Source organism: Homo sapiens, chromosome 6, assembly GCF_000001405.40.
Source record: "Homo sapiens chromosome 6, GRCh38.p14 Primary Assembly".
NCBI lineage: Eukaryota > Metazoa > Chordata > Mammalia > Primates > Hominidae > Homo > Homo sapiens.
In genome coordinates this window covers 151,503,941-151,516,499 of record NC_000006.12, presented here as the reverse complement: position 1 = coordinate 151,516,499, position 12,559 = coordinate 151,503,941, and the positions used below count along the sequence as shown (strand labels likewise).

Sequence of the window (12,559 nt, the reverse complement as noted above, 5' to 3'; positions counted from 1 at the left end):
AGGACCTCATGGTAAAGCAAAGAACCTGCTCAGTTACAACACACCCATTCATGACAAGAAATCATGACAAATTTCAAAACCCACAAAACAATCTATCAACTAAAAATAACATTCTAAGCCTTCCAACTGACTGAATGGAGACCTCCTCTTGGCCAAGGGCATTCCAAAGTAAACCTGAAACTAGTTCAAGCCTTGATGGAAAATGGAGGCCCAACATACTTCATTATACCCTTCTCCCTTTGGAATTCAGACACAACTGACCAGCATTAACATTAAAACAGAGATCTTAAGACTGAGAGAACAGACTCCTGTAGCAATAAGATACCAAATTCCAACCTGACTCTAGTATAGCATTATATGACAGATAACAGCCCTGAAAGAAATCGAAGTATTTTACCTCAAAATATATTTGTCTTTTCTTTTTTTTTTTTTTCTGAGACAGAATCTTGCTCTGTCACCAGGCTGGAGTGCAGTGGCGCGATCTCAGCTCACTGCAACCTCTGCCTCCAGGGTTCAAGTGATTCTCCTGCCTCAGCCTCCCGAGTAGCTGGGACTACAGGCATGTGCCACCACACCCAGCTAATTTTTGTATTTTTAGTAGAGACAGGGTTTCACCATGTTGGCCAGGATGGTCTTGATCTCTTGACCTCGTGATCCACCCGCTTCGGACTTCCAAAGAGTTGAGATTATAGGCATGAGCCACTGCGCCACACTTTCTTTGTCATATTTTTAAGTGGTCCTGCAAAGCTGTCTCTTGTGAAGGAAATGTATATTCTGTAAAGAATCTCTCTCCTTTATTAGGTCTTTTCAGGAGAGTCTACCACCTTTTATTGGTCTGATAAGAAGACATTTACCATCTATTGTCTCTGAAGCCTGCTACCTGGAGGCATCATCTATATAACAAGAACCTGGGCTTCCCACCTGCACAGTGGCTCACGCCTACAATCCTAGCACTTTGGGAGGCCAAGGCAGGCAGATCACCTGAGGTCAGGAGTTCCAGACCAGACTGGCCAATATGGTGAGACCCTGTCTCTACTAAAAATACAAAAATTAGCCAGGTGTGGTGATGTGCACCTGTAGTCCCAGTTACTTGGGAGGCTGAGGCAGGAGAATCGCTTGAACCTGGGAGGCAGAGGTTGCAGTGAGCCAAGATCACACCATTGCACTTCAGTCTGGGTGACAGAGTGAGACTCCGTCTCAATAAATAAGTAAATAAATTGATGGAGACTTGTCTCAGATACTTTTTGATTTACAAATCTAATGGCGTAATGCCAATGCCTAAAACAGGGTCCAAACAATGTAGTCCAAGTAGACATCTCTCCCAGGCTCTTGCATTTCAAGGATAATTTTGAAGTAGAGCATAGAATGAATGAAATGCATATTCTTCAGCCAATCCTTTATAATAGCATTTGACTACATTTGTTTAGTTAATATAAGAAACACAATTTCCAAGACCTCTTGTTCAGGTATTAAGAGTGCATTCCTCATCACCTTGATCCAGTTTCTTGCAGAGACCAGGTGAGTGAGTGTGAAGGCCTCATTTATCTGACACCAACCTACCAAGCTTTCAAAAGTCACATAGCCTAAGCTGATGTAATAATGTGAAGGCATTTCAATATTAGGATGGAAATGAATGGTTCTGCCAAGGCTTCATCCAAAAAGAATGGAGACTGAAGCAAGAGGCTCCTCACTGCTCTCCCTTCCGACTCACTTTGTGCCGACCTAACCTTTGTGCTGCCACAAAGTAGCCACTCTGAAATGCAGACCTGATCCATCTTTCCCCACCTACAAAGCTGCCCACGATAGACAAGGTAAGGAATAAACTCCTTAAGGTATGTGAGTCTCTTCTCTATCAGCCAAAACCCACATTCCCAGGGTTTCTGCCTCAATGCCCAATATCTAGCCTGACCTCCAGTCACATGGAAAAAATTAAATGTGTCTCGGCATGCCACAGAGCTTTCATCGCTGTTTCACCTTCTGGGTTCTTCCTCTTTCTTCACAAGCTGCTTCTCCACTGGGCAAAAGTCTGGGCCCCATTCAAGAGTTGGAACTGGCATTTTTGTGAAGGCTTCCTAGGATCCCCAGGCAAAATTTCCCTCCCTTCCTTCCTTCCTTCCTTCCTTCCTCCCTCCCTCCCTCCCTCCCTCCCTCCCTCCCTCCCTCCTTCCTTCCTTTCTTTCATTTTCTTTCGTTTCTTTCTTTCCAGGATTTCACTCTGTCATCCAGGCTGGAGTGCAGTGGCATGATCACGGCTCACTGCAGACTTGACCTCCCAGTCTCAAGTTATCGTCTTATCTCAACCTCCCAGGTAGCTGGGACTACAAGCACGTGCCACCACGCCCAGCTAATTTTTGTAATTTTTTAGAGATGGAGTTTCACCATGTTGTCCAGGCTGGTCAAAATTTCTTTTTATCCCAGTTACCACTCCTGCCCACATGCTCATCTTGCTTTATTTATCTTGGTTAATATTTCTGTGATTGTCTAATCGATGAAAAAAATGAATGCCACCCACAGTCTTATCAGAGATAACTCTATTGTATTTTGATGCATTTCTTTTTTCTTTTTTTTTTTTTTTTTTTTGAGACAGGGTCTCATTCTGTCATCCAGACTGGAGTGCAGTGGCATGATCTTGGCTCATCACAACCTCCACCTCCCAGGCTCAAGCGATTCTCCTGCCTCAGCCTCCGGAGTAGGTGGGATTACAGGCGAATGCCACTACTGCCTAGCTAATTTTTGTATTTTTAGTAGAGACGGGGTTTTCATCATCTTGGCCAGGCTGGTCTAGAACCCCTGACCTCAAATGATTCACCCACCTCAGCCTCCCAAAGTGCTGGGATTACAGGCATGAGCCATGGTGCCTGGCTTTTTTTTTTTTTTTTTTTTTTTGAGACGGAGCCTCTCTCACTCTATCATCCAGGCTGGAGTGCAGTGGTGGGATCTCGGCTTACTGCAACCTCTGCCTCCCAGGCTGAAGCAATTATCTTGCCTCACCCTCCCCAGTAGCTGTAACTACAGGTGTGCACCACCATGCCCAGCTAATTTTTGTATTTTCAGTAAAGACAGGGTTTCACCATGTTGGCCAGGCTGTTCTTGAACTCCTGACCTCAAGTGATCTGCCCGCCTTGGCATCCCAAAGTGCTGGGATTACAGGCGTGAGCCACCATCCCTGTCTGATGCATTTCTTTATAGTGTTTTTCTAATACAAATATATCATGTGCTTTTTAAAAATATAATTGGGGTTATACTGTAACTACAACTTTACAACCTGTTTTCTACATTTAATATTAATATTTCCCCAAGTGTTCTTTTAAAATGTTAACAGCTGCACAATATTCCATCATAAAGCTGTATTTTAAGTTGACTACTCTCCCGCGATTCGACATTTCGTTCTCTTTCTAATTGATCACTATTATAAATCTGTTAGAATTCTGACTGTTTCCTTAGGATGAGGAAAGTTGTTTCTCTGGAAAAGAAACAACTGAGTCAAAGGAAATAAAAATTGTTTTGATACACATTGCATAGAAAATAGCACCAACTTACACTCCCACCAATTATGTACCATAGGTTCATGACTTTAAGGGTCACTGCTTAATCAGTTCCTTCTCAATATTTCTATATGCCCTTTAAGAGGTGTCTGTATTATAATATTTATCACACGAAGAATAATCATAGTAGTAACATTAGTCATCCTTTTTTTAAGGACTTGGTATATACAGACGCAACATAAACACTTTACTAACATTATTGCACTCAACCCTTACAACAGTTCTTAGAAAGGAGGAGGAACTCGGTTAAACACTTTACTAACATTATTGCACTCAACCCTTACAACAGTTCTTAGAAAGGAGGAGGAACTCGGGCTTACCCAAGGACCCACAGGCAACGAGTAAAGCAGAACCTGGATTCAAACCCACAAGTCTCTGATCCTAACACCCATGCTTTTACCCTGGGGTTTGTAAATGTTTTTGTCTGCAAGCTCTTGGTATGAGTTTATGAAACAAATTTAAATATGTGTTTATTTTAAAATGATATACTACTGGGTCCGGGTGCAGTGGCTTATGCCTGTAATCCCAGCAGTTTGGAAGGCCAAGGCCCGTGGATCACTAGAGGTCAGGAGTTCGAGACCAGGCTGGCCAACATGGTGAAACCTCCTCTCTACTAAAAATACAAAAATTAGCCAGGTGTGGTGGTACACATCTATAGTCCCAGATACTCGGGAGGCTGAGGCAGGAGAATGGCTTGAACCCAGGAGACAGAGGCTGCAGTGGGCCTAGATTATGCCACTGCACTCCAGCCTGGGCAACAGAGCGAGACTCCATCTCAAAAAAAAAAAAAAACAAAAAAAAACGGTATACTGCTGGGTGCAGTGGCTTACCCCTGTAATCCCAGCACATTGGGAGGTTGAGATAAGAGGATTGCTTATGCTCAGGAGTCTGAGACTAGCCTGGGCAACATGGTGAGACCCCTGTCTCTACAAAAATTAAAAAATTAGCCAGGCATGGTAGTGTCCCTATGGTCCCAGCTACTCAGGAGGCTGAGGTGGGAGATGGCTCAAGCCCAGGAAATCGAGGCTGCAAAGAGCTCTGATCGTGCCACCGCAGTCCAGTCTGGGTGGCAGAGACTGAGACCCTGTCTCAAAAATAAAAAAGATATACATATACTACTGTACATATTATGCACGGTACCAAACATATACAAAAATGTAAATTAAGATTAAGATAAACAAAAATTCAAATCTTATCTTCTTGGACCTCTCAAAAACATCTTGTGTTTTATGTCTACCTACTAGAATGTAAGCTCCGTGAGAGCAGGCCCTCTGTTTTCCAGTACTGTGTCTGCAACAGTGCCTGGCAGATAGTATGCACTCATGAAATATATGTTGGGCATTAATAAATGAACGAGTCAGCTACAAGGTTGTGTGTTTGAAGGCAGAAGCTAGAAATCAATTATATTTTTATCCTTAGCACCAAGCACATTTCCTAGCACATAATGAACACCCCATAAATATCTGGTGAATGAATATACATTTAATGTTTGTTGAATAAATTAATGGATGGATAAATGAATGAGCACATGGATGGGAAGATAAATAGACAAACAGAAAGGCTTCTTCCCTCTGGTCACTTTACAGGGTTAGCACGTCAAAGATAAAAATACCTGGCTGAACTTAATTATAACACTTTACTAGTGTTATACTCTAGGGGGCAAACAATAGCCCCCTAGAACAAGTATAGATGGAATTTCACTACGTCTTGTAAAACCAGGAAATAATAAACCCCCTATTTTAAAAATTAGCCCTCGCTAGACAAAAACTTAGAAGCAAAGTTAGTGAGTTTTAGAAGAACTGGAAAGCGTAGTAGACAGTCGACCAAGATACACTGGAGAGGCAAAGCCATGAATTGTTCATCCACATCTTATTAGGTAAGGACAAAACTATAAAACATCTATAAAATACTTACCTTGAGGCTGGGTGCAGTGGCTCACACCTGAAATCCCAGCACTTTGGGAGGCCGAAGCAGGTGGATCACCTGAGGTCTGGAGTTCGAGACCAGCCTGGCCAACATAGTGAAACCCCATCTCTACTAAAAATACAAAAATTAACCAGGCATGGTGGCAGGCACCTGTAATCCCAGCTACTCAGGAGGCTGAGGCAGGAGAATTGCTTAAACCCAGGAGGTGGAGGTTGCAGTGAGCTGAGATTGTGCCACTGCACTCCAGCCTGGGTGACAAAGCGAGACTCTATAAAAAAAAAAGAAGAAGAAAAAAAACTTACTTATAAAATTATAAACCTTAATATTTGTTAGGGTGAAAGTCCCTTTCTATCTAATTTACGATTTTTCTGTATCTTGTTATGAGTGTCCTGACTAATAAGTTTGCAATTATTTCCTTAACTCATTCTATCTTTAAAAGCTCCTCATCACCTCCTTTGCAATATCGAATCTTAATCTCAAGGGTTTTTTTTGCATGGCAGACGTACATTATGGGAAATTATATTAACACACCCTCTCTGACTTCAGTATCTTTATTCTGTAACCTCACTGATATATGACATTTAAATTCACTTGTTAATCAGAAAACATTAAAATGCTTTGTTTTGCCTTTTTCTTCAGTTTTTACTGTAATAAATAACTCATTTCTAGAATTAGCATAAGTGTGAAATTTTTCTCGGAAGCTCTTTTTCTACCACAGAGATAGAAGAATGGCTTCTGGTTCATCACTGTAGCCCCAGTGACTGAGTATCAGTAAATATTTGAGGAATGAATGAACAAAATGACACAGTAAGAATTCAAACCAAGACTTTCTGACGCCAAAGCCCATGCTCTTACTCAGAATGTTTTTTTGTTGTTGTTGTTTGTTTATTTGTTTTATGGGCTTGTTTGTTTTTGAGACGGAGTCTCTTTCTGTTGCCTAGGCTGTGGTGCAATCTTTTCTCACCGCAACCTCCACCTCCCAGGTTCAAGCGATTCTCATACCTCAGCCTCCTGAGTAGCTGGGATTACAGGCGCGCACCACCATGCCTGGCTAATTTTTGTATTTTTAGTGGAGACGGAGTTTCACTATGTTGGCCAGGCTGGTCTGGAACTCCTGACCTTGTGATCCAGCTGTCTTGGCCTCCCAAAGTGCTGGGATTACAGGCGTGAGCCACCACGCCTGGCCTCTTACTCACAATGTTATTGTCCCATATATGCCTGGCTAAAAGTTGAAATGATCACCTTTCCCTAAATTGAATGATTTTCTGATGCTTGATATTGCTGTCTCCAAGACTATTGTAACAATCACTTGCATTTCCATAAGTAATGTTAAGCTCAAATAATTGATTTAATTTTAATTAATTCATAAATCTCTTTCTAACCACTTTTTGGAAAATGGATTCTTCCACGTTCATAACTGTACACATTCATAAATGTACAGATTGGATCTTGTTGATTTGGGAGCTTATAATTTAGTTTAATATAAAGTTCTATGAAGCTTAAAAATATCTGTTCAAGTTAGTAAGATAATTTCTTAGGCTGGACTCAAAAAATTAATTAACTTCAGGTCCTATTTTAAGCAACTAGCAGTTTTTTAGCATTTGTACAGGATCTACCTCCATGGGAGGTATTGGGTATAGCTGTCAAGAATAATGAATGCAAATTTGGGAACAATGTCACATATGGAATAGCCACTGAGAAAGGAATGGTGGAATGAGAAGTCCCTGTTGACAACGAGATGAGACACTTTATTCATCATTATCATTCATAGATAGATAGATAGATAGATAGATAGATAGATAGATACATAGATAGATAGATGAGACAGAGAGAGCGAAAGGGGGGAGAGAGAGAGAGAGAAAGAGATCTTTCCACATGTTAAAGATTTTAGAACTCTTCCCAAATGGGATTTTTTTCACTTCACTTATTATTAGACACTTGATAAATTTTAGTTTAAAATGAAAATTTTTCTAAGATGTAATATTTATTTTTGTATTTTTTTTTTTTTTTTTTGAGAAGGAGTTTCGCTCTTGTTGCCCAGGCTGGAGTGCAATGGCATGATCTCGCCCCACCACAACCTCCGCCTCCTGGGTTCAAGTGATTCTCTTGCCTCAGCCCTCCAAGTAGCTGGGATTACAGGCGTTCGCCACCACGCCCGGCTAATTTTGTATTTTCAGTAGAGACGGGATTGCTCCATGTTGGTCAGGCTGGTCTCAAACTCCTGACCTCAGGTGATCCACCTGCCTCAGGCTCCCAAAGTGCTGGGATTACAGGCGTGAGCCACCACGCCCGGCCTATTTATTTATTTATTTATTTGAGACAGAGTCTCACTCTGTCACCCAGGCTGGAGTGCAGTGGTGTGATCTCAGCTCACTGCAACCTCCACTTCCTGGGTTCAAGCAATTCTTGTGCTTCAGCCTCCTGAGTAGCTGGGATTACAGGCACACGCTACCACTCCCGGCTAATTTTTGGGGTTTTTTTGGTTTTTTTCAGATGGAGTTTCGTTCTTGTCATCCAGGCTGGAGTGCAATGGCATGATCTTTGCTCACTGCAACCTCTGCCTCCTGGGTTCAAGCAATCCTTCTGCCTCAGCCTCCCCAGTAGCTGGGACTACAGGCGCCCCCCCACTATGCCTGGCTAATTTTGTATTTTTAGGAGAGGCAGGGTTTCACCATGTTGGCCAGGCTAGACTCAAACTCCTGACCTCAGGTGATCCATCCGCCTTGGCCTCCCAAAGTGCTGGGATTATAGGCGTGAGACACTGGGCCCAGCAGATGTAATATTTTAGCTCATATGTTGAGTGGTATGCTTGAAACCTTAATAAGCTATTGATTTAAATTAGCTCCTCAGGAATATTTCCCTTACATAGACTTGAAATATAGTTAATGCCATCTTCCAAAAGAGCAATGCTCTAGTGCCACAAAACTGTGGAACTAGGGAGACTGAAGACTGTTGGATGTCATTTCAATACTCATCAGTTTCATATCAACCTATAGGAAGAGGAGCAAACAACTTTAAGACTGAATTTTCTATTATCTATCACCTAGTAGTAACTCTTCTATTATTAATATTTATCAATGTTTTCTTTTCTTTCTTTCTTTTTTTTTTTTGAGATGGAGCTCACTCTGTTATCAGGCTGGAGTACAGTGGCACGATCTCGGCTCACTGCAACCTCCGACTCCCTGGTTCAAGCGATTCTCCTGCCTCAGCCTCCCGAGTAGCTGGGATTACAGGCACATGCCACCACACCCAGCTAATGTTTGTATTTTTAGTAGATACAGGGTTTCACCATGTTGGCCAGGATGGTCTCGATCTCTTGACCTCGTGATCTGCCCACCTCGGCCTCCCAAAGTGCTGGGATTACAGGCATGAGCCACTGCGCCTGGCCAATATTTATCAATGTTTTCTACATAATGTTTCTACACACAGTTTCATCTCCCTACAGGGCTGCCTTATAACTTTTGTGGGCCCTATACACTTTTGCCTTCATGGGTCCCTTCTTTCATAGAAGATATTAAAAATAATTTTTTGTGACTGCATTAGTATAAAGATGAATATATCAAAATATTATGTATCAAAACACAGATGCTCCTGAACTTACAATGGGGTTGCAACCTCATAAACCCATGGTAAATTTGAAAAATTCTAAGTTGAACCATCATAAGTTGGGGATCATCTGTAATTTTTTCAACTTCAAAGCTCATTTTTTTTTCTCTACTGATTAAAAAAAATATAGAACATTCTCATGGATCCTTAAAAGTATGTTAGGCTACCGTGAGCACCGATGGATTGGTCAGCCCTGTCTCTCTACGAAATTGGGCAGGGGCTACAACAGGCTCTTCCCAGCTTTGGGTCTGTGTGTGAAGTACCTGTGGGCCTAGCTATACCCTGCCCTCTGTGTGGGCTCCAGATCCCCTCATTTCAACAAACCCCTCAAGCATGGAAGGACTCACAGTGAAGTTCCCCTGTGTATTAGTCAGGATTCTCCAGAGAAACAGAACCAATAGGATGTGTATGTACATAGAGAGAGATTCATTTTAAGGAACTGGTTTACAAGATTGTGGTGACTGGCAAGTCGGAAATCTGCAGGACAGGCCAGCAGCCCCGAGACCCAGGGAAGAACTGATATTGCAGCTCAAGTCTAAAGGGATTGTGGAGGCAGAATTCTCTGTTCCTTGGGAAATCTTAGTCTTTTCTCTTTAGGCCTTCAATGGCTTGGATGAGGCCCACCCACATTACAGAGGGCCATCTACTTTACTTTCAGTCTATTGATTTAAATGCTAATCTCATCTAAGAACAAACAAACAAACAAAACCAAAAAAACTTCCCAGCAATACATAAAATGAACCATCACATCCTGTGTTTCCAAAAGAGTGTGGTCTTAAGGTTAATACCAGACCATTACACAAGGTTACAAAAATCTTCATGCAAATATCCCTGCCAGGATTGGAGAAGGAATAAACTGTCTCCAGGTCAAAATGATGTGAAATGAAACTCTATCGCCTGCATCTTGAATAAATCTATCTTTGTAAGCTTGAATAAATCTGAATATTTTAATTTCACTGTTAGGTAAATGTCAGTCTGCCCATTTGCCTTCACGAATAGAAGCACAGGCATTGATCTCTACTCAAATGGCATGGTTTAAAATCGTGAACCAGACATGACTTTAAATAGTTGGTTAATTACTATCAGAAAGAAACACTTAACAGCCAATATGGTCAAAACTATAATCATTTCTTGGCAATTATTCTCTAAAATTCTAATTGTCAATTCTAAATAAATCCACGTAATAAGTCAATTCATTCCATTACTTGGAGGTATATTTTGTGGGTAGATATTGCTGATGGGTCCATGAGGATATAACTCAGGCCAACACTGGAAGATTTCCAGAGCTATAGAATTCTTTTATTTCTCTATTTATTTTTTAGAGACAGGGTCTCACTCCATCACCCAGGCTGGAGTGAAGTGGTACAAATCATAGCTCACTGCAGCCTTGAACTCCTGTGCTCAAGGTACCCTCCTGCCCCAACCTCCTGAGTAGCTGGAACTACAGGCACACACCACCATGCCCGCTGTTTGTTTGTTTAATTTTTTTGTAGAGATGGGGTCTCACTATGTTGCTCAGGCTGGTCTTAAACTCCTGGCTTCAAGAGATCCTCCTGCCTTGGCCTCCCAAACTGCTAGGATTATAAGCATGAGCCACCATGACCAGCCTAGAGTTCTTGATTTTTAAGAAGTAGGCTTTCTGGAACAGAAGTAGAATTACAATTTCAAAAGCATGGTTTTGCATATCAATAGCAAAGCCTTGAGGAGTCACAGCACAAGAATCCTTGCTTTTTTTTTTTGAGACGGAGTCTCGCTTTGTCGCCTGGGCTCTAGTGCAGTGGTGCCATCTCGGCTCACTGCAAGCTCCGCCTCCCGGGTTCACGCCATTCTCCTGCCTCAACCTCCCGGGTAGCTGGGGCTGCAGGCACCAGCCACCACGCCCGGCTAATTTTTTTGTATTTTTAGTACAGACAGGGTTTCACCGTGTTAACCAGGATGGTCTCGATCTCCTGACCTCGTGACCTGCCCACCTCGGCCTCCCAAAGTGCTGGGATTACAGGCATGAGCCACCACGCCCAGTAAGAATCCTTGCTTTTAATCCTAGAGTGGAGAACAATCCGTATGGGACCCATTTTCCCACCTGAAAGGGAATGTGTGCCACCAACACAGGGGAAAGGGGAGGCAGGACCAGTGCTGAGATGCCGCCTGCCCTCTTGGGACCTGGATGCTTGGTGGGCATAAACACTCCAGCTGGTTCCTGGCTTCCTAGTATGCAGGCCACTGAGAAGGGAACCTCTCAGAGAAGGTCTGCGGGCAGCACAGCTCCTAGGAGTAGAATGAATGACAAAGACTAAGAGAAGTGCCCAGGAGGCCAGCGGGCAGCTCCGCGGGCCACCAAGTCCAGGTGACACTTTTTACTCTCTACCTGACTTGACCTCCTTTTTGGGCCTTGACACACAAATCACTTACTGCTGGGGAATCCTCCTTACTCTCACGCCCCCATTCTCTACTGAGCGTCTCTCCTTTTTCCCACTTCTCTAGCCCTCCACTCAGTCCCTACTGCAGCTCACTTCCTTCACCCACTCACAACTTGATATTTGCTGGGTTCTGTCCTCGACGCTCTCTCCTCATCACTGGGACATTCTCACCGGTTTACTTCATGCCCTCCTGCGATCTCAGCCACTTCCAGTATCTAGTAGCTCCCAAATCTGCATCTCTAACTAGAGACTGACATTTCCAACCGTCTAGTGACCATCATTTGCATGTCCTGATGGCACATCAAGGTCAGCATTACCCCCTGACCATCACCACCATTGCCCCAGTAACCTCAGCAAAACTTCCCATCCCTCGTCCCTCCCTGGTCTGCTACAGCACACTGTGTAATTCTGTTTGTTCATTGTGTCTGTCCCTCTAGGTCCTTCTCTGAGACCATATATTTACTCTAGTGATGCTTGCCTTCTTCCTTTTTAAAATTTTATTTATTACCAATTATTTTTTATTGGTAAAATTGGTAAAAATTTTATTTATTACCAATTATTTTTTATTGGTAAAATTGGTAAAAATTTTATTTATTACCAATTACTATTTACCTAACTCAACTGTAAGTAAGCTCCATAGTTGGAGTGAAACAATGCCTTCTACTTTTTAACTCCATTTGTTGCCTGGCACATAATTTTTTTTTCATTTTTATTTCAATCCTACGGAAAAGTTGCAAGAATAATCCAAGGAACTCAAGTATGTTTCACTTTGATTAACCAATTGTGAGAACATTGTGCTACATTTGATGTATTCCTTTCTCTATGCGTATATTACAATATGATTGCTGAATCATTTGTGAGCAATTTGCACACACTATGGTCCCTTACCTCTAAACACTTCAGCTTGTATTTTCTAAGAACAAGGACATTCCTCTTCATACAACTGTCAAATTCAAGAAATTTAACAATGACACTATATTATTCACCAATTATCTCAATAATGTTCCTTAGAGAAACAATAAATGCATTGCATGTAGCTGCCAAGTATATTTAGTCTGTTGAATC

At 42.2% G+C, this 12,559-nt stretch overlaps 1 protein-coding gene across 2 annotated transcripts in view; it reads right to left on the bottom strand.

Moving 5' to 3' along the window:
- CCDC170 (coiled-coil domain containing 170) overlaps positions 1-12,559 on the bottom strand; it is a 127,177-nt gene that overhangs the window by 104,694 nt on the left and 9,924 nt on the right. The gene's annotated exons all lie outside the window — the stretch shown is intronic.